Source organism: Homo sapiens, chromosome 5, assembly GCF_000001405.40.
Source record: "Homo sapiens chromosome 5, GRCh38.p14 Primary Assembly".
In the NCBI taxonomy this organism is placed as follows: domain Eukaryota; kingdom Metazoa; phylum Chordata; class Mammalia; order Primates; family Hominidae; genus Homo; species Homo sapiens.
In genome coordinates, this window is record NC_000005.10 from 891,890 (window position 1) to 919,867 (window position 27,978).

The following is a 27,978-nucleotide window of genomic DNA, read 5'->3' on the forward strand; positions in this document are numbered from 1 at the left end:
CAGGTGCAAACGCCACGCAGCCAGGTGAGACGTGAAGGTGCTAAGAGGGAAAGGCCTCCCTAAGGAGTACAGCGGGGCTGCCAACCAGCAGGGAAAGACGGAAGGGAAGACCACAGTGGCGGCATGTCACTGCCTCCTTGTTCTCCCTTCCCCTCCGCAGGGAGCTTCAGGTCCCTTTCGAGCCACGGTGTCCTCACCAGAGGCCCTGTGGGATGTTGTTCACATTACTCGTTCAAGAAGATGGATTAAGAGGGACCTGGAACCCCGGAGCCCGATCTCCCTCCTAGAAACCCCCAGCACTTCGGTTCACCCTCGCCTGACTTCCTGCAGGCGCCCGTGCTGCCCGCTGACACCCATGGAGCTGCTGCGGGAGCAAGGGAGAGGGAGGGAAAGGCGGGAGAAAGGGCAGCCCAGCTTCTCCCTGAGCTCCACACAAAAGCCAGCACAGATGCTTCCCTAGTCTCCAGGACCGGGGTGAGTGGGCTTGCAGCCTCGAACCCAGAACCCTCTACCAGGAACGTAAGCGCCTACCCAGGACCCCTCACGTGTGCCCGGTTCCCTGCCCGAAATCCCAGGACCCCCTCCCGCGTGCCCAGAACCCCTCCCTCGTGGCCAGGACCTCGCCCGGTGCCCAGGACCCCCGTCCGCGTGCCCGGAACTCCTCCCCCGTGCCCGGGACCCCGCCCGCCGCGCGTCACAAAGCGCCGCCGCCTCACCCTCGTAGGACGAGCGCCACTCGGCCTTGTGCTTCTTGTGCTTCTTGCCCATGGCGGCGCCGGCGGCGGGCCCGAGGCGGGGGCTGGGAACAGCTGGCACCCGGTCGGACCTTGGCCGCCACCGCCCCCTGGCCCTGGCTGGCCGCCCGCGCTCGCTGCGCCGAGGTTGCCGAGCTCGCTGGGCCGCGCCGGAAACGGGGCGAGGCGGGGCCGCGGCAGGAAGTGGCCCTGCCGGGCCCGAGCGCTTCCGGGTCAGGAGGTGGTGCGCCTCGCGCGGCAGATTCGAAGCTAGGGCGGGGCCCGCGGGCTGAGGCAGCGGCTGTGGCGGCGACGCTGGGCGTGAGGTGGCGGCGGCCGCGCCCTGGTTGGGTCCCCACTGCTCTCGGGGGCGCCATGGACGAGGCCGTGGGCGACCTGAAGCAGGCGCTTCCCTGTGTGGCCGAGTCGCCAACGGTCCACGTGGAGGTGCATCAGCGCGGCAGCAGGTGAGCCGGACCTGTCCGACACATCCTCTGGGCACCCACCCGCCCCGACCCCAGCGCGTGCACCGAGCCCCGACCCCAGCGCACTGATTCTGATGCGACCGAACCCCAGGGTACTGATCCGGCCCGACTGGACCCGGGCGCACAGGCCGCCGGGCCCCGACCGGATCCTAGCGCAATGACGCGACCCCACCGCAGGGCACTGACCCGGCCGACCCGAGCCCTGCGCGCAGGACCCCAGCTCACAGATTGAGCCCCGACCCGACCTCAGCTCACGGACCTGGCCCTGACCCTGCCCCTGCCCCGGCTGTCCTCCAGTGCATTGATGTGGCCCTGAGTCCCACGTTGGAGAATAGGATGGCTGCGCATTACAGAGAGCTCTAGTCTCAGCCGAAAGCTGGGTGGTTATTCTTTGAGCCACTGCTTCTCAGACCCTTTAATTGTTCCCGTTCCTCACGGACTCGATGTTAAATTTTTAGGGTTCAAAGCACATCCCACTCATTTGTGACCAAGTCAGTTCATGGTATGGTGGGGCCTGTGGGCTGTGCTGCTCCCTGGAGTGGGGGGAACTCAGCGGCGGGGCCAGACCTTCACAGACCCTCCTTATGTCCACGGAGGGTGGATTGAGGTCAGGTGAGACCACCAGCCTCAGAGGGGATGCAGAGGAAGAGACCTTTCCTTTAACAGAATAGCTGTTGACTGGGTATTTTCTAGGTGCTGGAGTTCAGACACGTCAGCATAATTGCACCAGGGCCCAGAGACACCTGCACAAAGCCCCATCACAGCCTGGCGACACCTGTGTAAACACCTTAGCGCTCAGAGACACCTGTACACAGTGCCACCGCAGCCTAGAGACACCCCATGTACAACCACACCTGGGCCCAGAGACGCTAGGCATAATCACACCAGAGCACAGCTGCACCTAGAGGACAGACACCTACGTACAACTGCACCAGAGTTCATAGACACCTGCACACAACCGCACTATGCATGGTGGTCGCTGCTTGTAGGGTGCTGGGACGATTGCAAAGGGGCCACATGTCACCTGCCTGGCTCTGAGGAGCCTGTCCAGGAGGGCTCAGAGGGAGGCAGACATTGAATAGGACTTAGAGGGTGACTGCAGTTGATCAGGCCAGTAAGCTGGGACAGTGCATAGCAGGGCACAGAGGTGTGATCCGGGACCAGGTCACTGTTGTAGAAAGGGGAGGTGTTAGGAGGACTGCAGCAAGGGGGACCAAGGGAAGCCCTGGATACCAAGCTGAAAGCATTAGATTTTCTCAGCACGAATCACGGCTATTGGAGACTTGTTACAATGCAGACCCCAGGCCTGACCCCACAGCTGTGGAACTTCATTAGTAATAGTGAAAGCCAACATTATTGCGTGCTTACTATGTGCCAGGTATCGTCCTAAACACTTTGAGTGTATTAATGACTTCACAGTAGCCCAGCATAGCGAGAACTCTTACTGTTGTCCCCTTTTTCTAACTGGGAGCTGAGGCACAGCTTCTTCAGGGCACAGCTGGTAGAGGACCCACAGGCAAGGGGTGGCTCTAGATTTGGTCCCAGGCAGGCCAACTCCAACTTACCCTGTTAACTACTGGGCTTTCTTATGTATTGTCTGAGTTTTTCAAAACACTTCATTTTAACATTTTGTTTTTGAACTAAGATCATTTATGTGTGTTTTGGCTTCTTTTTTTAGCACTGCAAAGAAAGAAGACATAAACCTGAGTGTTAGAAAGCTACTCAACAGACATAATATTGTGTTTGGTGATTACACATGGACTGAGTTTGATGAACCTTTTTTGACCAGAAATGTGCAGTCTGTGTCTATTATTGACACAGAATTAAAGGTTAAAGACTCACAGGTAAGTTACTAATTTGCTGGGCCAAGGAACAGTTAGCTGAATACAAAAGGTTGTATCATGAATGTCTTGCCGTTTTCATAGCCTGTTGTCAGAAACAGGTTCACTTCTCTGTTGGTTTGGGTGGCTAGACAAGTTCTTTTCACTAGCTGTCAGGAGCCAGGTGCTGGGAGTAGGAAGTAGCCCTGATGTCGGGGTGCTCTCAGTATAGCAGTAACAGATTGGAAACCAGGAATGAGAATGCAGTGCTGTACAATAGTGGGCTGCGCTGGTAAGGCCTGTGTGCCATGTCTCATTCTTTCAATCAGCAAATGTTTATAAAGTGCTCAGTGTGTGCTAGGACCATAGGAGGTGTGGGGCCACAGAGATGAGAAGATGGGCTTGCCTTATAGAATTCCTTTATCTCATCCCATGCATGGCCACCTCACCCACCATCTGAGTTGATGCGTATGGGTTAGAGGAGCTTTGTGTGAGGGCGTGGAGGCATTGGGGCGATTCTGGCACCAGTATAAAAACAACCTGAAACATTCCTAAGGAAGACTTATCACTTACAGCAGTACAATTCCTGTCCTGTAAGAACCAGCTGTGAAGGACAGGCTTGGTACTAAGTTCTGCTCGTGAGGTGGACCTCCCCATTCATACGTTAGGACTCATGTTTGTGCATGCTCAGAGCTTTGTGCACACTGAGATCTGATAATGCCGTGGTTTTGGCCAGTCTGAGGGAAGGAAGAGCTTCCCACACTGTTGTGGAGGGATGGACACCCTAACTGGAGGGCACGGGCTGCCCAGGGAAAGTTCTAATGTTCTCTGACTGCAGATTCACTTGTAGGAATTTATCGTAGCTGATAATCATGCAATTTTGTAGATCTTTCTGAACAGATGTTTGTTAGATGCTGTTAATAATAGCCAACAATTTGAAATATTTTAACTGTCCACCAGAGGTCAGTTAATAAATGTAGGAATTCCATATATCTACACTATGTACAATATAGCCATTAAGAAGAATGAAATAGATTTCTATCTACCAATGTAAACATTTCTCTGAGTTAATAACAAATGTAAAAAGACACAGTTAGGAAACCGACTGGGCAAGGTGGCTCATGCCTGTAGTCCCAGCACTGTGGGAGAAGGATGGAAGGATCACTTGAGGCCAGGAATTGGAGAATGGCCCGGGGATCATAGCAAGACCCCGTCTCTAAAAAGAGTTTTAAAAAATTAGCCAGTGCGGTGGCGCACACTTGTAGTGTCAGCTACTCAGAAGGCTGGAGGTGGGAGGATCACTTGAGTCCAGGAATTTAATGTTGCTGTGAGCTGTGATCGTGCTGCTGCACTCTAGCCTGGGCGACAAAGCAAGATCCCGTTGCAAAAAATAAGTTAATTAAAAAAAAACAAAAAACCTTATATGATAAAACTCAGTTTTTGGTCCCATCTGTGTGAGTGTATTTATATAATAACGTCCCGGAGGCTGGATTTAGGGCACTTTTTCATTCTGTAAGTAAATGTAGGGCCCAAAGAGCAAGGGATGGGTATTAGCTTTCAAAAGAGCCAATCCTCAATCTGAAATAAAATAATAGCCTTCTCATCTAATCTGAGAACTAGCTTTGATTATACTGTACATTCAGTTTTTATTTGTAGACCTTAACATCTAATTTGTATGGTTGCAGTTAAGTGAGAGTTGGAAATGTGTGTCGATATTGGCTTTTCCCTCATTTTAGCCCATCGATTTGAGTGCATGCACTGTTGCACTTCACATTTTCCAGCTGAATGAAGATGGCCCCAGCAGTGAAAATCTGGAGGAAGAGACAGAAAACATAATTGCAGCAAATCACTGGGTTCTACCTGCAGGTATGGGGTGTGATGGGAGTTGAAGGGGAGGCTGAGGTCAGAGGATTGTATACTCCATGCCATGTCAGTTCACAGGGGGGGTTCTGTTTGTCCATTTGTTTTGTAGGATTTTAGGATGTTTTCTCTCTTATGAAATGGAAAGTATATCACAAAAGAGGAAAGTAGAGATTTCCAGTGTGGGACCATACTGTTCCTTTGGGTGGGTACCTTAGAGTTCCTGGCTAACGGAGAGTGCCCATGTGCTCTTCTCACATGCCTGCTTGGTCTGTCCTGCTGAGTGGCTCCTTGTCTGCTTGATGCTTCTCCGTGGGCATTGCTGATGGGCTCTAGCAGGCCAAGCCCACGGCTTCATTCAGTCAGTGTGTGGGGAAACAGGTGGATTTGGATGGGCTCTAGCAGGCCAAGCCCAGGGCTTCATTCAGTCAGTGTGTGGGGAAACAGGTGGATTTGGATGGGCTCTAGCAGGCCAAGCCCAGGGCTTCATTCAGTCAGTGTGTGGGGAAACAGGTGGATTTGGATGGGCTCTAGCAGGCCAAGCCCAGGGCTTCATTCATTCAGTGTGTGGGGAAACAGGTGGATTTGGATGGGCTCTGGCAGGCCAAGCCCAGGGCTTCATTCAGTCAGTGTGTGGGGAAACAGGTGGATTTGGATGGGCTCTGGCAGGCCAAGCCCAGGGCTTCATGCAGTCAGTGTGTGGGGAAACAGGTGGATTTGGATGGGCTCTGGCAGGCCAAGCCCAGGGCTTCATTCAGTCAGTGTGTGGGGAAACAGGTGGATTTGGATGGGCTCTGGCAGGCCAAGCCCAGGGCTTCATTCAGTCAGTGTGTGGGGAAACAGGTGGATTTGGATGGGCTCTGGCAGGCCAAGCCCAGGGCTTCATTCAGTCAGTGTGTGGGGAAACAGGTGGATTTGGATGGGCTCTGGCAGGCCAAGCCCAGGGCTTCATTCAGTCAGTGTGTGGGGAAACAGGTGGATTTGGATGGGCTCTGGCAGGCCAAGCCCAGGGCTTCATTCAGTCAGTGTGTGGGGAAACAGGTGGATTTGGATGGGCTCTGGCAGGCCAAGCCCAGGGCTTCATGCAGTCAGTGTGTGGGGAAACAGGTGGATTTGGATGGGCTCTGGCAGGCCAAGCCCAGGGCTTCATTCAGTCAGTGTGTGGGGAAACAGGTGGATTTGGATGGGCTCTGGCAGGCCAAGCCCAGGGCTTCATGCAGTCAGTGTGTGGGGAAACAGGTGGATTTGGATGGGCTCTGGCAGGCCAAGCCCAGGGCTTCATTCAGTCAGTGTGTGGGGAAACAGGTGGATTTGGATGGGCTCTGGCAGGCCAAGCCCAGGGCTTCATTCAGTCAGTGTGTGGGGAAACAGGTGGATTTGGATGGGCTCTGGCAGGCCAAGCCCAGGGCTTCATTCAGTCAGTGTGTGGGGAAACAGGTGGATTTGGATGGGCTCTGGCAGGCCAAGCCCAGGGCTTCATTCAGTCAGTGTGTGGGGAAACAGGTGGATTTGGATGGGCTCTGGCAGGCCAAGCCCAGGGCTTCATTCAGTCAGTGTGTGGGGAAACAGGTGGATTTGGATGGGCTCTGGCAGGCCAAGCCCAGGGCTTCATTCAGTCAGTGTGTGGGGAAACAGGTGGATTTGGATGGGCTCTGGCAGGCCAAGCCCAGGGCTTCATTCAGTCAGTGTGTGGGGAAACAGGTGGATTTGGATGGGCTCTGGCAGGCCAAGCCCAGGGCTTCATTCAGTCAGTGTGTGGGGAAACAGGTGGATTTGGATGGGCTCTGGCAGGCCAAGCCCAGGGCTTCATTCAGTCAGTGTGTGGGGAAACAGGTGGATTTGGATGGGCTCTGGCAGGCCAAGCCCAGGGCTTCATTCAGTCAGTGTGTGGGGAAACAGGTGGATTTGGATGGGCTCTGGCAGGCCAAGCCCAGGGCTTCATTCAGTCAGTGTGTGGGGAAACAGGTGGATTTGGATGGGCTCTGGCAGGCCAAGCCCAGGGCTTCATTCAGTCAGTGTGTGGGGAAACAGGTGGATTTGGATGGGCTCTGGCAGGCCAAGCCCAGGGCTTCATGCAGTCAGTGTGTGGGGAAACAGGTGGATTTGGATGGGCTCTGGCAGGCCAAGCCCAGGGCTTCATTCAGTCAGTGTGTGGGGAAACAGGTGGATTTGGATGGGCTCTGGCAGGCCAAGCCCAGGGCTTCATGCAGTCAGTGTGTGGGGAAACAGGTGGATTTGGATGGGCTCTGGCAGGCCAAGCCCAGGGCTTCATGCAGTCAGTGTGTGGGGAAACAGGTGGATTTGGATGGGCTCTGGCAGGCCAAGCCCAGGGCTTCATTCAGTCAGTGTGTGGGGAAACAGGTGGATTTGGATGGGCTCTGGCAGGCCAAGCCCAGGGCTTCATGCAGTCAGTGTGTGGGGAAACAGGTGGATTTGGATGGGCTCTGGCAGGCCAAGCCCAGGGCTTCATGCAGTCAGTGTGTGGGGAAACAGGTGGATTTGGATGGGCTCTGGCAGGCCAAGCCCAGGGCTTCATTCAGTCAGTGTGTGGGGAAACAGGTGGATTTGGATGGGCTCTGGCAGGCCAAGCCCAGGGCTTCATTCAGTCAGTGTGTGGGGAAACAGGTGGATTTGGATGGGCTCTGGCAGGCCAAGCCCAGGGCTTCATGCAGTCAGTGTGTGGGGAAACAGGTGGATTTGGATGGGCTCTGGCAGGCCAAGCCCAGGGCTTCATGCAGTCAGTGTGTGGGGAAACAGGTGGATTTGGATGGGCTCTGGCAGGCCAAGCCCAGGGCTTCATTCAGTCAGTGTGTGGGGAAACAGGTGGATTTGGATGGGCTCTGGCAGGCCAAGCCCAGGGCTTCATGCAGTCAGTGTGTGGGGAAACAGGTGGATTTGGATGGGCTCTGGCAGGCCAAGCCCAGGGCTTCATGCAGTCAGTGTGTGGGGAAACAGGTGGATTTGGATGGGCTCTGGCAGGCCAAGCCCAGGGCTTCATTCAGTCAGTGTGTGGGGAAACAGGTGGATTTGGATGGGCTCTGGCAGGCCAAGCCCAGGGCTTCATTCAGTGTGTGGGGAAACAGGTGGATTTGGATGGGCTCTGGCAGGCCAAGCCCAGGGCTTCATTCAGTCAGTGTGTGGGGAAACAGGTGGATTTGGATGGGCTCTAGCAGGCCAAGCCCAGGGCTTCATTCAGTCAGTGTGTGGGGAAACAGGTGGATTTGGCATCTGGACTTGTGCTGAAGCATATGGATAAAAGACAATTGTAAGTGGCTATGATCATAAATTTTATAATGTGTTGTTCACCACCAAAAAATGATAGTTTAATGAAAACATATTGTGGGGATTATGTTATACGTCAATGGAAAATAAATGACAACAATACCTTAAAGAAGGATGGGAAGTTAAAGTTTTTTTAAAAGACAATTGTGCGTGATAATGAGACGTAAAGTGTAATTCTTTGACTCCATCCAGTTGTCTGCCAGAAGTTACATGTGACTGGCATTTATTTTGCATCTTTGATTTTAATAAAAATCAAAATTTGAAGAAAAATTTGCAGAATTTATACTTTCCTGTAATCAGAATCATAGTCTTGCCTGGAGCAGCACAATGGGAAGCTCAGGCTTAGGCTCAGGGGAGACTGACTGGGGGTGGCTGTAATTGCTTGCCTTCCTGAAATCAGGTCTTTGTTTAATTCTGTCACAGCTGAATTCCATGGGCTTTGGGACAGCTTGGTATACGATGTGGAAGTCAAATCCCATGTAAGTTGCTGTGCCTTTTCCCAGAATGCCCTGTTATTTGAAGAGGAACCATTACTGTTTTGCTCTCCAACACCCCTGAGCAACTTGATGCAGATGGGTTTTTGGGAGCCCCTGTCTGCTGGCAGCCCTTGTCCTGGACATCTATCCTCTAGTATTGCTCCAGAGTAGAGCTGGTCTCTGAGGAGCTCCCTGAGGGAGAAGAGGGAAAGGGAGAACGTGAAGGCAACTTAGAGAATTAAACCCTCTGGAGATGGGAGGAGGGAAGGTGAGCAAGCCTGGTCCGCACAAAGGAAAGGCCGGTGTGTCTTAACCCCTGCACCCTCTTCAACGGGAAGGGTCTTTCCCATGCCAGCAGCTGGCTAGAAGACTATCACTCAGCTGTCCTCTGCATTGATAGTCTGAGACTATCACTCAGACTGCTCCTCTGCATTGTGGCTGTTGTTATTTTGCGAATAATAACTGCTGTATCATTCTAGGGAAGGAGCTTACTCATTACTTGATAAACAAACCCCTTAGTGGTTTTGTTTAATGTTGGCACTTTAAATAAAAGTGATCATTTTGTTGCTCTTCTTATATTTATAATAGTAATAGCCAGTGTTTTTCCTTTTCCCTTTTGGAAGCACCTTCTCTTCTGAAATGAAAGCGTTTGGAGGTGATGATCTCTTAGGAGGCGGCCTCGCTCCCTGTGCTCCCTCTTCTCATGTAGGATTAAGCCCTGGGGGAGGGCACATTTCTTGGGGACCTTTGCCTTGTTGGTATCTTTGTCAAGCTCTTTTCTTTTTCTCTATCAGCTCCTCGATTATGTGATGACAACTTTACTGTTTTCAGACAAGAACGTCAACAGCAACCTCATCACCTGGAACCGGGTGGTGCTGCTCCACGGTAAATTATGCAGGCTTTTATTTGACCAGATAAGTGGCATGAAATTTAGCCTTTACTTGTACCTTCGTCCTTCTGCAAGGAGTTACGGCTCTTTGTTTTCTGAAGGAGCCACAGCTGTCCTAGAATGTCCCCTCTCTGTGAAGCAGATCCAGCTCATGACACTTGGGACATTTTTTGTTTGTTTGTTTGTTTTTGTTTTTGAGACAGAGTCTCGCTGTCGACCAGGCTGGAGTGCAGTGGCCCGATCTCGGCTCACTGCAACCTCCACTTCCTGGGTTCCTCCCAGGTTCCAGCAACTCTCCTACCTCAGCCTCCCGAGTAGCTGGGATTACAGGCATGCGCCACCACACCCAGCTAAGTTTTGTATTTTTAGTAGAGACGGGGTTTCACCACGTTGACCAGGCTGGTCTCAAACTCCTGACCTCAGGTGATCCGCCCGCCTCAGCCTCCCAAAGTGCTGGGATTACAGGCTTGAGCCACCGCGCGCGGCCCCTGGGGCATTGATTACTCGGCACTTAATCAAGTCTTCCTGTGGGGGGCCACATTCCAAGACATCCTCAGATGCCCCAAACGTGGATAATACTAAACCTTATGTAGACTATTTTTTCCTACAGACATTCCTATGATAAAGCTTAACTTATAAATTAGGCTTGTAGTACTCAGAGCTTTACTTTGTGAGGAGTAAACTGAAAAAGCCATATTTTAAAGAAATTCTGTCTGGTTCTTCTCAGGAGAAAATACTGATGGTTTGTTGTTTGGTTTTGTTTTGTTTTGTTGTCAATATCACCGGGTAGAATGGGGACACGGGAATTGAGTGGACTCGAGAGTATGAAACTGTAGCCAAGTGTTAAATAGAAGCTTGAAGGGTACTTGGCTTCTTTAAGTCAGTTAAGATTGCGTGACAAAGTGACCTTAAAACACAATGTTCTTTTAAAGAGCAGACAGGCCCCGCATACTGCCCTCATAGCACAGTCAGAGTAAGCAGCAGGTGTTTTAATTAGTGAAATAAGTTGTTTCTGTTTGGAACCAGTTACGTATTTCCTCTTTAATTCTTGAAAATACCTGCAGAAAATTAGAGTTGTATGTCTCCATTTTCTGTTAGATGCTTTCCTTTTTCCATATTGGTCACCTCGCAGCTTCTGTGAGGCATCTTTTGTAGGGTCCAGCCCCACAGGGTTGGTGAGTTTTCTCCCCATGTGCAAAGACGAGAGAGTGTAGAAATAAAGACACAAGACAAAGAGATAAAAGACAGCTGGGCCTGGGGGACCACTACCACCAAGACGCGGAGACCGGTAGTGGCCCCGAATGCCAGGCTGCGCTGATATATATTGGATACAAGACAAAGGGGCAGGGTAAGGAGTGTGAGCCATCTCCACTGATAGGTAAGGTCACGTGGGTCACGTGTCCACTGGACAGGGGACCCTTCCCTGCCTGGCAGCTGAGGCAGAGAGAGAGAAGAGAAACAGAGAGACGGCTTACACCATTATTTCTGCATATCAGAGACTTTTAGTACTTTCACTAATTTGCTACTGCTAGCTAAAAGGCAGAGCCAGGTGTACAGGATGGAACATGAAGGCGGACTAGGAGCATGACCACTGAAGCACAGCATCACAGGGAGACAGGCCTCTGGATGACTGCGGGCGGGTCTGACTAATGTCAGGCCCTCCACAAGAGGTGGAGGGGTAGAGTCTTCTCTAAACTCCCCGGGGGAAAGGGAGACTCCCTTTCCCGGTCTGCTAAGTAGCAGGTGTTTTTCCTTGACACTGACGCTACCATTAGACCACGGTCAGCTTGGCAGCGGGCTTCTTCCCAGACGCTGGCATTACTGCTAGACCAAGGAGCCCTCTGGTGGCCCTGTCCAGGCATAACAGAAGGCTCGCACTCTTGTCTTCTAGTCACTTCTCACTATGTCCCCTCAGCTCCTATCTCTGTATGGCCTGGTTTTTCCTAGGTTATGATTGTAGAGCAAGGATTATTATAATATTGGAATAAAGAGTAATTGCTACAAATTAATGATTAATATTCATATATAATCATATCTAAGATCTATATCTAGTATAATTATTCTTATTTTATTTATTTTATTATACTGGAACAGCTCGTGCCCTCGGTCTCTTGCCTCGGCACCTGGGTGGCTTGCCGCCCACATCATGCTAGGGGACGCTTGGCAGGCAGGCGTGCAAGAAGAGTGCTGGCCTCTGCCTCTTCTAGTATGGGGTATGAGCCCACTGAGAATTGTCTTAGGAAAGAGGGTGGTTCTGGGGGCAACAGGAATAACACATGACCCCTCCACCTCCATTTATCAAGAAAGGTGTGTTTGATCTCTGAAAGGTGCCTTGATGAGTGGATTTCATAAAGGAAGAGTGGGGACAAGGACAGGTGTCAGCAAAGATGTAGGCTAGAAAATGCAATGTTCATTCCCGACGCTAAGTGAGACTGTAGGCCGAGAAGCTGGGAGCAGTGCTGGGGGTGGGGAGGCGATGGAGGCTGAGACCAGAAATACGAAGTTGAGTACAAATAAGAAAGAGGGGGAGACGTAAGTGTATTGGTAATATTTCATAGCATTTAAGTTTCTAAGCAGACTTCATTGTAGTAATAACATTAATAGCTTTTAACTGTATTCCTTATATTTTATGGATAATGGAAGTTACTGTTGTTTTAAGAAATTTGTTGTAGCACTGACTTAAAAATATATTTGCTTGGATCTTTGTCACAGGTCCTCCTGGCACTGGAAAAACATCCCTGTGTAAAGCGTTAGCCCAGAAATTGACAATTAGACTTTCAAGCAGGTAACTTTCGGTAATCTGTGAGAGGAGAGCCATGGGAATGGGATTTATAACGGGAGGTTGTTTTTTTTTTTTTCTAAATCATTTTACGCAAATAATAGATTCCTCTCCACTGTAAGTCACTTGATTCCTCTGTATTCAGCATAGTTTTGAGTTATGATTTCAGTCTTTTAAGATTTGAGACTTACTTGATTGCCAGCACATGATCTCTGCTGGTGAATTGCACTTCAGAAGACTATACTTTCTCCCCTTGCTGGATGCAGTGTTCGTCTCTAATTACGGATTTGTCTTTTCCTCTTGAGTTCTGTCTGTTTGGGGCTTATGGTTTTCATCACATTTGGAAAATACCTGGTCATTGTTTCCTCACTGAATTTCCTTGACCCTCCCCTTTATCTGGGACTCTGTCTGCTTTCATGTTAGACTGTTTGATGTTGTTCCACAGGCCACTCCTGTGCTTTTTCATTTTTTTTTTCAGTTCTTTAGAAATATGTTTTATTCGAAAGTTTCTATTGCCGTATTTTAAGTTGACTGATTTTCTACATCGTCTAATCTGCTTTTAATTCCATTCAGTGAAGTTGTTATGTCTGATAGTGTATTTTTCTGCTCTGTTCTATTTGATTCTTTTTATACTGTTTTTTCATTATGTTCTCGTTCACGTCTTGAACAACCCCATAATAGCTGTTTTAATGTTCTGTCTGCTAATTCCATCATGATTGTCATTTCTGATTGTGTTTCTATTGACTGGTTTTTCTTCTGGTTAGGGGTCACATGGTTTTGCTTTGTTAGCATGTTAGGTAGTGTTTGATTAGCTGCTGAACATTGTGATCTGAAGTGTGTGGATTGTGTGTTCCTTTAGTGAGTGTTAGATTTTGTTCCGTTAGGCATTTCCATTACTTGTGATTTGGTGTGATCCTTTGAGGTTTGGTTTTTTTAAGCTTTGACTGGGAGGGGTTTAGGTTTGGTCTTAACACTCAATTGTGGTCCTCTGGGGTCTCCACTGAGTGTGCTGAAGGATCCGTGGGCACTCTCCACTCTGGCGGTCGGAGTATGCACTCCTCTCAGCCTGTGTGAGGTCCAGGAGCCCTTCAGCTCACAGACCACGGGCGCCCTTTACATAGCTGCAGGGAATGTCCCCTGCTCACACACACCTGAGTATTCATCCAGGACATCGGGGGCGCCATGAGGATCCTGGGCACTCCTTCTGAGGTATTTCTTCATATTTCCTTCCCCTCTGGAATTCTGTTCTGCAGCCTTCAGTCACTTCAGACTCCCTGAACTCCAATCTCTGTCTCCTCGACTCAGCGAGTGGCTGTGCTCCACTTGGGCTCCCTCCCGTGCCTGTGGTTGGAAGATGCCTCCCGGCAAGAAAGTTAGAGCATTTGTAGAGAGGGTCCCTGGTCTTCCGACTCAGGAGTCCCAGCCCTCACTGCCCTGTGTACAGCAACCTTACCAGATGTCATTTCATCCATTTTGCCTTAAATGAGGTTTTCTCATTTAAGATTAGATGGTAAATCTGCTTCCTGTTACTCCAGTATGACTAGCGGAAATCCTGTGAGGTTTAATTTCGTATACATAATTTTTGTTCTTCAAAAATGTCTTGTAAATGTTTTTACATAGGGAAATTGCTTTATTTTGACCCCTTAGCTTATGTTTAGCAACTTGCCCTTTGCTTTGACATATTGAAATACATGTGTGTTTTCAAGATCTCTAGGGGCATGCCAGCATGGCGGCTCAATGCCTGTAATCCCAGCGCTTTGGGAGGCTGAGGCAGGTGGATCATTTGAAACCAGGAGTTTGAGACCAGCCTGGCCAACATGGAGAAACCCTGTCTCTACAAAAAAATACAAAAAATTAGCTGGGAGCACATGCCTGTGGTCCCAGCTTCTTTTGAGGCTGAGGTGGGAGGATCACCTTAGCCCAGGAGGTCCAGGCTGTGGTGAGCCTGGGTGACGGGAGTGAGACCCTGCCTCCAAAGAGTAACCAAAAAAGATCTCTAGGGGCAGAGAGGGCAACACAAGAGAAGGAAAATGTTATTGTAAGGAATATAGCTTTTTCCAGTACAAAGATCTGGAAATATGCATTGGTTTTATGGCTTAGAAATGGCAAAAAGAAGTCCTAGCAAGACTTTTCCTCACTCTATCAAAGAATCAAAATGTTTTATAATTAATTTTGTTTAATATTCAACCCAGTCTATATTTTGTTAGATTGTCTGTATCCCTCCACTGTTTTAATAAACAGTATCAGTAAACGGTCTCTCTCTTTTTTACGTGGAATGCCAGTGATGCTTCTTGAACGTAATTCTTTTTCTTTTGTGGACTTTTGACATGGAAGCAACTGAAAAGAGGACCTGGAAGTCAGTTTCTCTCTGGCCTCAGTCTTGTTCTCTGGTGATTTAGTCAGCAGCTAAGCACGCCCAGATCTGTCTGCGGGCTTCTGAATGGATAGAGGAGTGTTTCTGGGTTCCAGTCAGTCTGTGTGTGTTAAGGTTAACTTTGGGCCACCTGAGCATTCCTGGGCTCTGGGGTCTGTGCTGTTTAGGGTTCTGTGGAAGGAGGGGAAAATGCTCAGCTCCTGCCAAAAGCTCTTGATGCTTCTATTTTGTTTTGTTTTCTGTCTTATGTTAGTACTGCTAATATTTTTAAACATAGAAATATAATTTGTAAATAGATATAAAATGGGAGTTTTTACTCTTTAACTCAATTGATACAGTCTAGAACTACTGATTGAATCTTGTTAGACTTTTTCATAATTATTTAGTACACGGAGGGCTGGATTCCTCAATTCTTTGTCAGTAATTGTAATTCCCCCGATGCTGGGCACTTGAGATGTTGCATTCAGGACGCGTGAATGGCTGCCGCTGAGGATCCACAGGACCAGTTAGTAATTCTCTCAACTCCTTTTTTCTATCTCAGGTACCGATATGGCCAATTAATTGAAATAAACAGCCACAGCCTCTTTTCTAAGTGGTTTTCGGAAGTAAGTATTAAATATTAATTCTAATTGTCTGGATTGTATAGCTGAAAAAATGTCTTGTATGTTAGGCAAATCCTCCTCCAGAAGCTTCAGGAGAGAACTGGGTGGGAAGGGTGTGTGAGGATTGGGGCTGACTGTGATCAGAGAAGGTTCCGGAGCTGGGGCCCTTGGGGACCCTCCCTTGGTTCTCCCCAGACCTGTGACTGGGTGGGACAGGACAATCGATGGACTCTCAGAAGGGCAGGGCTGGCACTCAGGGGACTGCAGCCCTGCCATGCATGTCCTTGGTGCTCATGCGCCCTAGCACTGTCTGTGAGTTGAGGGGGTCAGACAAGGTGATGTCACATGTGATTCTTACCTCTGAGGAGCTGTGCCCAAGTCACCTGGCATCCGCACATCCCTCTGGTGAGGTGAGGTGGGACCAGGCACGCTGGGCACAGGAGAGCCTGTGAGGAGTGCATCCCAGCCTGTTTGCATCTGTGGTCTGCCTCTTTTCCTCATCAGAGAGGACACACAGGTAAAGCAGAGGTACAGGTCACCCTCACTGTGCCGCCCCGGGCAGGTCAGGTGTGGTCTCAGGTCTCAGCACCCTGGCATTCAAAGCAGAGGGGAAGAGTGTTAGGCTGACCTCCTCCCATGCTGCCCTAGCTTCTCTGATTTAGGGAGCTTTCTGAGGGGCCGTCAGGAGACAGTGGGCTTGTGGGGACAACTGGGGCAGCAGGCCACATCAGGGTCCCCCTGTGCACCTGGCAGTGTGGTCCCTGCACGTTGACACTAAAAGGGTGTTTGGGTTCCAGAGTGGCAAGCTGGTAACCAAGATGTTTCAGAAGATTCAGGATTTGATTGATGATAAAGACGCCCTGGTGTTCGTGCTGATTGATGAGGTAGGCATTTCCAGATAAGGAAATTCATGACAGAATCGCCTTTTGCCATTGTGGGGACACAGCCTACTCCTGATGCTCCTAGCTTTCCCCTCCTACAGCCGGGCTGCCCTCTATCCCTCCCTGCACTGTGCGCCTTTCCACCTTGCCGCAGCATCCGCAGGCTAGGCACGGGAACACCCATTCATTCATCTTTTTCACGTGCTCAGCGGGACGTATCCCCATAGCTGCCTGTGAAGTGCCAGGCCCTGTCCTTTTTGACCCCACTGCTCCCTCCCAACAGGTGGAGAGTCTCACAGCCGCCCGAAATGCCTGCAGGGCGGGCACCGAGCCATCAGATGCCATCCGCGTGGTCAATGCTGTCTTGACCCAAATTGATCAGATTAAAAGGTAACCAGGACATGCAGCAATTTTCCCTGAGAAGTGATGAGAAGTTTGTCCCAAAGAAATGCGTGATACTTGTGCAACCCTAGATCTTAGTGCCCAGCTCTTTCACCGGAAAGTGCATTTGGCATTGAGTATCGACTCCTTTTCCACATTGGAAGCAGCATATCACAAATGCTTTTTAAAGAAATTGTTTTTAGTGTGTTAAAAATGTAATAGAAGGCCAGGCGCGGTGGCTCACACCTGTAATCCCAGCACTTTGGGAGGCCGAGGCAGGCGGATCACAAGGTCAGTAGATTGAGACCATCCTGGCTGACACGGTGAAACCCTGTCTCTACTAAAAATACAAAAAATTAGCTGGGCATGATGGCGGGCGCCTGTAGTCCCAGCTACTCTGGAGGCTGAGGCAGGAGAATGGTGTGAACCCGGGAGGCAGAACTTGCAGTGAGCCGAGATCATGCCACTGCACTCCAGCCTGGGTGACAGAGCAAGACTCCGTCTCAGAAAAAAAAAATGTGAAAGAAAACTCAGGCATGGTAAGCATTTTACGTAGCACAGAAAAGCATAAAATGAAGAACTGCTACGTTCAGGCCTTATCCCACCCACTTCTCTCCTATCCCACCCACTGTCAGCACCAACTAGTGCTGCTCGTAGGTGAATGGCTGTCCCCTGCTCGCCCTGCTGGCCCAGGACAGACAGCTTCGTGTGCAGATGGTCCACGTCTCCACAGCCCAGCCTCACAGGGCCAGGGCCTGTTGTCATTGTAGCCCAAGTTTATCAAGCTTAAGGAGCGACAGCTGCTGGCCCAACTCCCAAGGAAGTGATGGGCGAGCCAGAACCTGCCTGTCCCTGTGTGGTGCTCAGCCAGGACTCAGGTTCCTTCTGTGAAATGTTCTTTCTGTCCTCAGGGTGCCTGGGGAGTCCCTGGCATTCTCAGAAGCTGGATTGTTGAGTGTGGGGTGACAGCAGACTGAACTGTGCAGAGGAACGTTTTGTCCAGGCCATCACCACTGTCTCACCACAGAGAGCGTATCTGGCTTCCTGAGAAGCGCTCGTTTTGGGGTCAGCTGCAGGAATGTGTGCCAAGACCAGCTCGGTCGGGGAGACCCTAACCCAGCGGCGCTAGAGGAATTAAAGACACACACACACACAAATATAGAGGTGTGAAGTGGGAAGTAGGGGTCGCACAGCCTTCAGAGCTGAGAGCCCCGAACAGAGGTTTACCCACGTATTTATTAACAGCAAGCCAGTCATTAGCATTGTTTCTATAGATATTAAATTAACTAAAAGTATCCCTTACGGGAAACGAAGGGATAGGCCGAATTAAAGGAATAGGTGGGGCTAGTTAACTGCAGCAGGAGCATGTCCTTAAGGCACAGATCGCTCATGCTATTGTCTGTGGCTTAAGAACGCCTTTAAGCGGTTTTCCACCCTGGGCGGGCCAGGTGTCCCTTGCCCTCATTCTGGTAAACCGACAACCTTCTAGTGTGGGCGTTATGGCCATCATGAACATGTCACAGTGCTGCAGAGATTTTGTTATGGCCAGTTTTGGGGCCAGTTTATGGCCAGATTTTGGGGGGCTTGTCCCCAACAAGTGTGCAGGTCCTGGAGGGGGGCCTCCCCTGCCTCTGGCTTCCTTCTCCTCTTGTCCACTTCCTTCCCCACCTGGCTTGTCTCTCAGTCTACTGCAATCTGGCTCCTGCCCCCGCCGCAGCCCAGCAGCCCCGCATTCACATGAGTGTTCCCTTTTCTCTTTCTGGAACTTTGCACAGCGCTGACACCCTGATGGCCCCTTCCCTGAATCTCTTTGTGCCTCCCTCCCCGGCCTCCATTCTCCTGTCTCCCCGGTTTATGCTGCTGGCGTCTCTCCGCAGGGAGGGGTCTACACAGCCTGTCTGTGGCCTTCTCTCCTGGCGTGTGCCCCTTCAGCATAGCTCAGGGTTCTGTGGGGGGAATCCCAGACCTGCACATCCACCTGTGACCAGACATCAGGCTTAGATGCCCGGGATGCCAGGCACACTCCCACACTGCTCACTGGGCCCCAAATCCCTAACTTCCTGGGATTCCACACGACGCTGATGGCCTCGCTGTGCACCTGCCACTCAAACCAGAGGATGGAGGCCACCGTGACTTCTCCCTGTCAGTCACAAGGGGGTGTGGCTCAGGAAGAAACAAGGAGACACGCTTGCCTCTCTTGCCTTCATTCCCTCGTGCTTCTGGTTCCAGCCCCTCTCTAGAGGACTCTTTCTGTCCCCCACCAGTCCTGTCCACTCCCGCATCTCTGGATTGTCAGCCCCTGGGTCGTGATCTGCAGGCCTAGGCCTCCCTCTGGCCCTTCCTGCAGCCCCACCCTCCTGGTGCTGGACTGAGCAGCTGTGAGCTCACCCAACCTCTGTGCCTTGTTCCTCTGCCGGGGACCCACAGGCTCCCTGTCCTGCCTCTGCTTAGCTCACCCCGGCGCGCAGGCACAGGGCCTGCCCTCCCTTGGCCAGGGTCTAGGTGAAGTTGACCTTCCCCAGGCAGCAGTGGTAGCACTGCCACATGTGCAGCCACGCCCCCCAGGCCTGTGCAGCATGCTCCCTGGGGGCACCTTGTGCCCGCTCTGCTGGCTCATGCTGGGTCCTTGGGGGACATTGGTCAACAGACCAGACAACAGGGGCTCTCTCTATGGAGTTTAGACGCTAGAGGGGAGAGCAGATCATGAACATGGGAAGTAACCCAGCTCTAGAGTATGTCTAGGGATGATGAGTGGCCATGCCCAGGTGGTGGTGGGCACCAGAGCCCACGGTAGGTGGCACAATCAGGAACGCCATGCGAAAGTGAGATCCTTGCTAGGCCGGGCGCGGTGGCTTACGCCTGTAATCCCAGCACTTTGGGAGGCCGAGGCAGGCGGATCACGAGGTCAGGAGATCGAGACCATCCTGGCTAACACGGTGAAACCCCGTCTCCACTAAAAATACAAAAAATTAGCCGGGCACGGTGGCGGGCGCCTGTAGTCCCGGCTACTTGGGAGGCTGAGGCAGGAGAATGGTGTGAACCGGCGAGGCGGAGCTTGCAGTGAGCCGAGATAGCACCACTGCACTCCAGCCTGGGCGAAAGAGCGAGACTCTGTCTCAAAAAAAAAAAAAAAGGAAAGTGAGATCCTTGCCAAGGTTGAAGGCAGTGAGGGAATGAGCGAAGTGGGGCTGTAGAATTCCCAGAAGGCCAAGGAGCAGCGAGAGCAAAGGCTGGGGGGTCTGCGTGGCCTGTGTTGGCACAAGGCCACTTTCCTTCCTGTTGGCAGCCTGCTGGCCATCGTCCTGCCAACCTCCTTGCCAGATAGGGCAGGATAGAATTGGGTCACCGACAGCCGTGATGACTGTGGTGCTTGCTTCTCGGCCACAACAGGCATTCCAATGTTGTGATTCTGACCACTTCTAACATCACCGAGAAGATCGACGTGGCCTTCGTGGACAGGGCTGACATCAAGCAGTACATTGGGCCACCCTCTGCAGCAGCCATCTTCAAAATCTACCTCTCTTGTTTGGAAGAACTGATGAAGGTACCTTTATTTTTTTTTTCCTCTTGATACAAATGGATTTCTTATATGTTCTTAATTAATTAAGATAGCTTAAAATAAGCTCGTTCCAGTACGGAGGATTTCAACATATGCATTAACTCCCTTCTTAAATTGAAAACTAGTTTTGTATGTGACAGGTTGAGCTGATAGTTGAAACTAGGGCCACTGACTCAATATTTTTGTTCTTTTGGCACAATACAGTCATCATTGTTCATTATTTGAGGTACCAGTCAGTGTAGGGGACGTCAGTGACCGGCTGTGTTTACCTGGCTGGCTGCACAAACCTTAGTTCTCAGCTTACCCCGGGCTTTTCCAATGCCCTGCCTCTCGGGGGCCTGTATCCTTACCTGAAAGAGGAAACATCACGGGCGTAGTATGGGCCTGGTTTTGGTCACGGGGTCCACATGACGTCACGTTCTTGAGTCGCCTGTTGTGATGATAGGCAGGAACACTGTTGCCGTGGGCAGAGCGACGCGTGCGGGTTGTGTGTGTGAGTCAGGAAGGCCGTCGCCACGGGCAGAGCGACGCGTGCGGGGAGCGTGTGTGAGTCAGGAGGGCCGTCGCCACGGGCACAGTGACGTGCGGTGAGTGTGAGTCAGGAGGGCCGTCGCCACGGGCACAATGACATGTGCGGTGAGTGTGAGTCAGTAAGGCCGTCGCCATGGGCACAGTGACGCGTGTGGTGAGTGTGCGTGAGTCTGGAACGCCGTCGCCATGGGCAGTGACGCTGCGGTGTGTGTGAGTCAGGCTAGCAGGGACCTGCCCCATGCTTGTGTTTCTGCTGCTCTAGCCCCTGTGGGAACAGACCTGTCCCAGACAAATCATCCTGCAGGGGCCTTTGTTTAGGGTAGTTGGGCGGTAACCAAGCAAACCAGTGAATGGGGATTTAAACAGTGATGAGTTTAATGCAGTTGTTGCCACCTGCTGGTACCACAGAGTAGGGGTGTTAACAAGGATGGCACACCCTGCTGTGGTTGGGGACGGGAGAACTGGTCTCAGCCATGGACCCACTGGGCCTGCCCGGGTCAGCACTGTCCAGGCATGGTTTTCTTGGGGGTTGGGGAAAGGAGACGGAGCTCTGTGGAGCTTTGCCTGGAGAATGCCAGTGATCTGAAGACTGATTCTACAGCAGTTTTGCTGCCAAGGAGCCCCACGTGATAGCAGATCCTGCGAGGAAGTCGTGTGTGTTGGAGGTCCTCACGCACCTTCAGTGTGGGTTCCAGCCCTCGCAGTGTGACGTTTATACACTTGTACACTCGTGCTGTGAATCCAGGGGCTGTTTAAAGTGTTAGCTAAGAGGGATGGACTTTTTCTGGGACAGTGTAGGACAGGGGTAGTTTTTTGTTTGTTTGTTTATTTTGAGACACAGTCTCACTCTTACCTAGAGCTGGAGTACAGTGGTGCCATCGCAGCTCACTGCAACCTCCGCCTCCTGGGTTCAAGCGATTCTCGTGCCTCAGCTTCGTGAGTAGCTGGGATTACAGGTGCATGCCACCACACCTGGCTAATTTTTGTATTTTCAGTAGAGAAAGGGTTTCATCATGTTGGCCTGGCTGGTCTCAAACTCCTGACCTCAAGTGATCCGCCCACCTCAGCCTTCCAAAGTGCTGAGGTTACAGGCGTGAGCCACCGTGCCCAGTGATAGGGGTAGTTTCTTATTTTAGGCAGTTTATATGAAATTAAGACATGCAGATGTCACAGTGGATATTGAACTGGTCTCGAAAGCTCAATATCCCCCAAAGCACAAGCACAAACTGTCTTAATTTTGCTCACACCCCTCAACAAACCTCCAAAATGTTCAGACAATGCTATTTTCTTCCTTCTCCTTGTTCCTGAGTCAGAACGGTTCGTATTAGAATTCAGTCATAGTAAGTCAGTGTGCGCACCTGACTGTTGGCAAGGCTGCTTGGAAAAGCATGACTTCCAGACAAATGATCTCTGAGGGGAACTTCTGGTGCTCAGCTCCTCGGTCAGTCAGACACTGTCATGCTGCCAAACAAGCCTCACCTTTAAAACAGACAAACTAGGATCCTGCTTTGGAAGTCAGTGGAAGTCCTGGCTCTAAGTCCCAGCTCTGCCCACTGTGGGTTTTGACGTCTCCGAAGGTGGCATAACAGACTGGACTGGGTGCCTCCAGGTCCCTTCCCTTCCTGACACACAGGGAGGAAAAGTTTTGGCTCGAAACACAGAAGAGGCTATGTTGCTACTGGTTTCTGAGGCATGTTCCGTTATTTGTATTTGTTTGAAAAAGCAGAATGTGTACGCTGAGAGGCATGAGAGAGCGAGCTTGTTCCCTAGTGCAGCTGTGCATCTTGAGTCGTCACCGTCTGGATTTCTGTGAGACGTGGCGTGGTTGACATTTGACCTGCAGGTGCTGTCCCTCTTGCTGACGGTGCCTACGCTCAGGCCTCTGTGGACTCAGCTAACCGCCTGTACTTCTGTCTCCCCAGTGTCAGATCATATACCCTCGCCAGCAGCTGCTGACCCTCCGAGAGCTAGAGATGATTGGCTTCATTGAAAACAACGTGTCAAAATTGAGCCTTCTTTTGAATGACATTTCAAGGTGCAAATTGACCTCATTTTTGTAATCAAGAAGAATCCATTTGTGATATTAACTAGGGAGTCATTGTTTCCTTTGAGGAGACCAGGGAGGGCCCTGGGTGTGAACTCTCAACACAGTATAGGTATGAACATGCATGTACACACGTGTGTGTGTGTGTGTGTGTGCATGTGAGTAGAAACACGCAGCACAGCCACCTCCTTCCAAAGGAGATGTAACCCTTGCTCAGGGAGGGCGCTGGCTCACACTGGAAGCCTGCAACCCTACGGCTGACGACACTTACAAGGATTCGCAGAGTCCACAGAAAGGAAATGGCTTTGGGGGTCCAGGGAGGGTGGAAGGGAAGGTAGGAAAATCAAACGGTGCCTTGAAGGATAGAATTTGGTTCCAGCTGGAGAGAAATCAGGAAGGCTGCTGGAGCAGTGTGTTCAGGTGACCGTCTAGTGGGTTGCAGTGTGGAGGCTGGGGAGGTGCCGGAGAGGCGGGGGGTGGAATGGACAGAGCCTCGGGTTTCTGGCCAGAGTTTGAATTTTATTTTGAAGTTGGCAAGAATGTGGAAGGCTTTAAACAAGGGATAACATGAAGAATGTAGTATTTTTTAAGGATTTGGATTATCTGTTGAAGAGATTTAAATCAGTTAAGATGGGAACGAAGAACAGTTCAGAGACTTCTACAAAAATTGAAGATGTGAACCCACCCATTATTTGGGGACTCTGTGCCTACTGACCATGTGCCCGCTGCATCGTGCCTTACGCCTGGTGCTCCCAGGCAGGTGATGCCTTCCCTGAGCGCAAGGATGCTGGCCCTGGGGCAGAGGCTCCCGGGCAGGTGATGCCTTCCCTGAGCGCAAGGATGCTGGCCCTGGGGCAGAGGCTCCCAGGCAGGTGATGCATTCCCTGAGCGCAAGGATGCTGGCCCTGGGGCAGAGGCTCCCGGGCAGGTGATGCATTCCCTGAGCGCAAGGATGCTGGCCCTGGGGCAGAGGCTCCCGGGCAGGTGATGCCTTCCCTGAGCACAAGGATGCTGGCCCTGGGGCAGAGCACACAGGTGTGCCTTGGGTGTGCTTCAGAGCCGCGAGGACACTGCCTCCCAGAGCAGGAGCTGAGGATGGGGAGAGACCGGCCCCATACGAGAGGCCGGGGGCAAAGAGACATTCAGAGGGCAAGGCTCAGGAGACCAGTGAGGGGCAGGAAGTGCCCTGTGAACCCAGGGTGTGCTTGGGACGCCTCGGCTTGTGTTCCCAGGGATGCCTCGGCCAATGAGGAAAATTAGTCCTGAAACGTGTGATTGTATAAATTGCTGTCTCTGAACTGGGTTTTCTTTACACAGGAAGAGCGAGGGCCTCAGCGGCCGGGTCCTGAGAAAACTCCCCTTTCTGGCTCATGCGCTGTATGTCCAGGTGAGTCTCCACTGCTGTCCTCCAGCACCCGCCCTGTCCACAGGTCTCAGCCTCGCCGGAGATTCCGCTTAGTAGCCCTGGGGTATCAGCCTCATTTTATCTCAGTTTCTAAACCACAGGGTCCTGGGGCCGGAGGAGGAGCTGACCTTGGCACCGAAACACAGGGGCTGTCTTGAGTCCTTTGGGAGGAGGCGGCTGTGCCACATGCCTCTGCTCACACGCATGCATGCACACACATGCACGTCTGCCTCTGTGGTGTGCTGAGCTCGTGGCCAGGGCCCTCGCTGGCCTCACCAGAGGTTTGTGCTCTTTCAGTCTGGGTTCAGCTCACATAGAACAGTGACCTGGATCCACAGCCTCACCCACTGGGTGCTGGGCCTGTTGCAGATGCTTCGGCCTGGGGCACTCACCCCTCCCCTGCACTGTCCCCAGCAGCCGGTTGGGGTAAGGACTCAGTGTCTGGCAGAGCAGATACACTTACATCTGAGAAGAGAAAACCCCCATCTTGGAATGTTTCCTTTCAAATCAGAAGTGACTCAGGCTCTGTCTGATCAGTAGCAGCCTCTGTGCTGGACACAGTGCTCAGCACAGAGGTGACAGTGGCCATGGATCATGAGTGGGAGCCTTTTGATGCAGGGGAGGTGACAGCTCTGGGCACTGGGCCATGGGAATTCTCTGGTTATAAGCCTGGGACATAGGGTGGGCCCTCCAGGGTCTGCTCCCTACAGCTTCTCATCCTTCTCAGTGTGTGGGTGGCTGCCTTGGTGCTCCCCTGCCCACCCCCGCAGCTGTTTCTGACATTCAGGACATGGCGGGGGCGGGGGTCACGTAGCCACCTTGTTCGCCTTTTCTGAAGTAAAGAGCTTGGCTGATGTGCGTCCTGGACGTGTGTGGTGCGCACTCACTGCTCACCTTATCAGCTACCACCCCCTTCTGTGCTATCTGCACTGTGGGTGGCGGCAGGGGCTGTGGATGCCAGATGGCCCCACCAAACGTGAGTTGAGCCCCTCCAGCAATGACCGTGTACCTTCTAGGCCCCCACCGTCACCATAGAGGGGTTCCTCCAGGCCCTGTCTCTGGCAGTGGACAAGCAGTTTGAAGAGAGAAAGAAGCTTGCAGCTTACATCTGATCCTGGGCTTCCCCATCTGGTGCTTTTCCCATGGAGAACACACAACCAGTAAGTGAGGTTGCCCCACACAGCCGTCTCCCAGGGAATCCCTTCTGCAAACCAAACGTTACTTAGACTGCAAGCTAGAAAGCCACCAAGGCCAGGCTTTGTTAAAAGAAGTGTATTCTATTTATGTTGTTTTAAAATGCATACTGAGAGACAAACATCTTGTCATTTTCACTGTTTGTAAAAGATAATTCAGATTGTTTGTCTCCTTGTGAAGAACCATCGAAACCTGTTTGTTCCCAGCCCACCCCCAGTGGATGGGATGCATAATGCCAGCAAGTTTTGTTTAACAGCAAAAAAGGAAGATTAATGCAGGTGTTATAGAAGCCAGAAGAGAAACTGTGTCACCCTAAAGAAGCATATAATCATAGCATTAAAAATGCACACATTACTCCAGGTGGAAGGTGGCAATTGCTTTCTGATATCAGCTCGTTTGATTTAGTGCAAAAATGTTTTCAAGACTATTTAATGGATGTAAAAAAGCCTATTTCTACATTATACCAACTGAGAAAAAAATGGTCGGTAAAGTGTTCTTTCATAATAAATAATCAGACATGGTCCCATTTGCAGGAAAAGTGCAGACTCTGAGTGTTCCAGGGAAACACATGCTGGACATCCCTTGTAACCCGGTATGGGCGCCCCTGCATTGCTGGGATGTTTCTGCCCACGGTTTTGTTTGTGCAATAACGTTATCACATTTCTAATGAGGATTCACATTAATATAATATAAAATAAATAGGTCAGTTACTGGTCTCTTTCTCCGAATGTTATGTTTTGCTTTTATCTCACAGTAAAATAAATATAATTAATGGTTTGCATGTGAAATTCACTTTTGAAAGAACATGTTACCTTACCTTTTGTTTTAGAAGTTTTCAAGTATTAAAATATTTTTTAGAATTTTCTTGTTTTGATTCTAAGTATCTCTTCCAAGTGCTTTTAATTTTACTAAAAATTACTCACATGATTACTTAACTTTAAGCCTGATTTATGGTGTGGGGACCTTATGGTGTAACTGCATCATCCAGAAGAAATTGGGAAGGTGCCAGTGGCCCAGGTGCAGATTCAGGAGGTAGATCACCAAGGCCAAGGCATATGCAGGTTCTGGTCACCGTGTCGTCTGCTGGGCCTTAACTCTAGATTCAGAACCCGGAGCCACTCCTGCCGTGGAAAGCAGAGCCTGGCTCTGGGGGTGGCAGGTTGAGGAGTGGGCCCAGTCCATGCATGTCAGTGCTGTTAAAGGATCTTTTCACCAGTGGGCACAACCCTAACAGCTCCCCCACCTCCACTCTCCAGGAGTCAGCTTGGGGTCCACAGTGGCTTGCGGCCCTTGTACTCACAAGTTCTTCAAGAAACAATTTGAGCTTTTTAAAACAGTTGGGGGTGGGGTATAGTGAATAAGGCAAAAGACTCATCTGAGAGTAAAGGCAGTGTATTAGGGTTCTCTAGAGGGACAGAACTAATGGAATAGATAGATACATATATAAAGGGGAGTTTATTAAGTATTAACTCACATGATCACAAGGTCCCACAGTAGGCCATCGCAAGCTTCAGCAAGGAGAGCCACTCCGAGTCCCAAAACTGAAGAACTTGGAGTCCGATATTTGAGGGCAGGAAGCATCCAGCACAGGAGAAAGATGTAGGCTGGGAGGTTAGGCCCGTCTCGCCTTTTCACATTGTTCTCCCTGCTTATATTGTAGCCTCACTGGCAGCTGATTAGATGGTGCCCACCCAGGTTAAGGGTGGGTCTGCCTTTACCAGCCCAGTGACTCAAATGTTAATCTCCTTTGACAACACCCTCACAGACACACCCAGGATCAATACTTTGTATCCTTCAATCTGATTAAGTTGACACTCAGTATTAACCATCACAGGCAGACGCATGTCTAGAAGACAAAAGGTACAATATTCTTGCTGCCGAAGAAAAGAAAAAATTGCCAAACCTGAATTGCTGTGAAGGACATAGCTTGGAAGGCATGACAGAAGGTTCCCTGCAGTTATGGAGGATGAGTATGGGTGAGGTGCTGTGGACCCCAGCTCCAGTATCACTGGGCAAGTCTTGACAGGACACCAAGGTCATGGAGGTCAGCCTTGTGGAGCCCATGCTGCACTCAGATGAGATCTGTGGGTCCAAACAGCTCAGGCCATCTGAGTTTGTCCTGTTTGATTTGCTTGTTATATAAAATCAATCAATCAAAAGATAGATGAGTGATAAACGTGCCATTTCATTTACACCACTTCTGAAACCACACTTGAATTCTGGAGGCCGCTGGCTCGTGCGTCTCAGGCAGGCCCACTGGATGTGGTGGGACTCGGCAGTGGCAGGGACTTCTCATGGACTCATTGCAGGTGTCAAGTTCCTGAAAATAAGATACCTGTGGTAGAGAAACCAGGCTGTGTCCTTGAAGTCCCTTCAGGCTATTAACCGAGTGGGAATTCAGGGAATTTCACATGTCAACAGTAGGATGATTGTTGTGTTTAACTGCATGACCTCTGCAAAATGGGGATTAAGAGATCAACTGATAACAAAGTACTTGCCCAAGTTCAGAGACCTACCGCAGCACAACCTTACTAAGAAATAGAGGTTGAAAATGGCAATTTCAGTATAGAAATACGACTTTTAAACATATTAATTCTAGTAGTTTTTTGACAGCATTCTTAGGATTCTTTAGGCACTTGATTGTGCCAGCTGGGAATAAAGACAATTTGCTTATTTTTTTAA

General features: G+C 50.7%; 2 protein-coding genes across 28 annotated transcripts in view, besides 8 other annotated features; one reads left to right on the forward strand and one right to left on the reverse strand.

The window, feature by feature from the left end:
- BRD9 (bromodomain containing 9) overlaps nucleotides 1-912 on the reverse strand; it is a 29,061-nt gene extending 28,149 nt beyond the window's left edge. For 18 of the 24 annotated variants that reach the window (XR_007058631.1, NM_001375879.1, NM_023924.5 and 15 more), the window contains exon 1: nucleotides 717-912. Coding sequence is in view for 16 of the 24 variants with exons in the window: in NM_001375879.1 (NP_001362808.1) it covers nucleotides 717-768 (52 nt within the window). In the remaining 8 variants the exon portion in view is untranslated. Of the gene's footprint in view, nucleotides 1-197; nucleotides 662-716 lie in introns of those variants that run through there. The other 6 variants (NR_184210.1, NM_001009877.3, XM_047417605.1 and 3 more) reach the window with 2 other exon arrangements.
- Nucleotides 253-471: a silencer, noted in NCBI's record as "fragment chr5:892257-892475 (GRCh37/hg19 assembly coordinates)". NCBI's record gives its function as "represses an EF-1alpha promoter that drives an FKBP-Casp9 reporter gene in an ReSE screen in HepG2 liver carcinoma cells and phorbol 12-myristate 13-acetate-treated (for megakaryocytic differentiation) K562 erythroleukemia cells {active_cell/tissue: HepG2 | K562(+PMA)}" and the evidence as "EXISTENCE:reporter gene assay evidence [ECO:0000049][PMID:32094911]".
- Nucleotides 253-1,281: a biological region, named in NCBI's record as "H3K27ac hESC enhancer GRCh37_chr5:892285-892917".
- Nucleotides 281-913: an enhancer, noted in NCBI's record as "H3K27ac hESC enhancer chr5:892285-892917 (GRCh37/hg19 assembly coordinates)". NCBI's record gives its function as "activates a minimal SCP1, AML or CMV promoter by ChIP-STARR-seq in primed H9 embryonic stem cells {active_cell/tissue: H9 hESC(primed)}" and the evidence as "EXISTENCE:reporter gene assay evidence [ECO:0000049][PMID:30033119]".
- Nucleotides 662-1,281: a silencer, noted in NCBI's record as "silent region_15878". NCBI's record gives its function as "represses an Ori minimal core promoter by ATAC-STARR-seq in GM12878 lymphoblastoid cells {active_cell/tissue: GM12878}" and the evidence as "EXISTENCE:reporter gene assay evidence [ECO:0000049][PMID:35858748]".
- Nucleotides 995-27,459, forward strand: TRIP13 (thyroid hormone receptor interactor 13). 4 transcript variants are annotated; one of them, XM_011514163.2, is made up of 14 exons: nucleotides 995-1,201; nucleotides 2,898-3,063; nucleotides 4,776-4,905; nucleotides 8,605-8,660; nucleotides 9,452-9,542; nucleotides 12,259-12,331; nucleotides 15,241-15,304; nucleotides 16,099-16,185; nucleotides 16,466-16,572; nucleotides 19,954-20,107; nucleotides 22,576-22,688; nucleotides 24,015-24,084; nucleotides 25,119-25,262; nucleotides 27,131-27,459. In XM_011514163.2, the coding sequence occupies exons 1-13, from the start codon at nucleotides 1,110-1,112 to the stop codon at nucleotides 25,212-25,214; spliced, it is 1,299 nt and encodes a 432-aa protein (XP_011512465.1). In that variant the 5' UTR covers nucleotides 995-1,109; the 3' UTR covers nucleotides 25,215-25,262; nucleotides 27,131-27,459. The 4 variants fall into 4 exon arrangements, with proteins under 4 accessions (XP_011512465.1, NP_004228.1, NP_001159732.1 ...); NM_004237.4 differs by lacking the exon at nucleotides 27,131-27,459 and having other exon boundaries at nucleotides 25,119-26,231; XM_047417879.1 differs by lacking the exons at nucleotides 995-1,201; nucleotides 27,131-27,459 and adding an exon at nucleotides 2,792-2,809 and having other exon boundaries at nucleotides 25,119-26,231.
- Nucleotides 11,205-11,499: a silencer, noted in NCBI's record as "tiled region #1606; HepG2 Repressive non-DNase unmatched - State 12:CtcfO, and K562 Repressive non-DNase unmatched - State 12:CtcfO". NCBI's record gives its function as "represses a minimal TATA promoter and a strong SV40 promoter by Sharpr-MPRA in HepG2 and K562 cells {active_cell/tissue: HepG2 | K562}" and the evidence as "EXISTENCE:reporter gene assay evidence [ECO:0000049][PMID:27701403]".
- Nucleotides 24,905-25,474: an enhancer, noted in NCBI's record as "H3K4me1 hESC enhancer chr5:916909-917478 (GRCh37/hg19 assembly coordinates)". NCBI's record gives its function as "activates a minimal SCP1, AML or CMV promoter by ChIP-STARR-seq in primed H9 embryonic stem cells {active_cell/tissue: H9 hESC(primed)}" and the evidence as "EXISTENCE:reporter gene assay evidence [ECO:0000049][PMID:30033119]".
- Nucleotides 26,891-27,434: an enhancer, noted in NCBI's record as "H3K27ac hESC enhancer chr5:918895-919438 (GRCh37/hg19 assembly coordinates)". NCBI's record gives its function as "activates a minimal SCP1, AML or CMV promoter by ChIP-STARR-seq in primed H9 embryonic stem cells {active_cell/tissue: H9 hESC(primed)}" and the evidence as "EXISTENCE:reporter gene assay evidence [ECO:0000049][PMID:30033119]".
- Nucleotides 27,435-27,978: an enhancer, noted in NCBI's record as "NANOG-H3K27ac hESC enhancer chr5:919439-919982 (GRCh37/hg19 assembly coordinates)". NCBI's record gives its function as "activates a minimal SCP1, AML or CMV promoter by ChIP-STARR-seq in naive H9 embryonic stem cells {active_cell/tissue: H9 hESC(naive)}" and the evidence as "EXISTENCE:reporter gene assay evidence [ECO:0000049][PMID:30033119]".

Bases quoted from the DNA above. Each gene is read 5' to 3' on its own strand.
- TRIP13 (XM_011514163.2), top strand. From the start codon at position 1,110: ATGGACGAGGCCGTGGGCGACCTGAAGCAGGCGCTTCCCTGTGTGGCC. The intron at 8,661-9,451 runs GTAAGTTGCTGT...TTTCTCTATCAG, and splicing joins ATGTGGAAGTCAAATCCCAT to CTCCTCGATTATGTGATGAC. The intron at 16,573-19,953 runs GTAACCAGGACA...CGGCCACAACAG, and splicing joins CAAATTGATCAGATTAAAAG to GCATTCCAATGTTGTGATTC.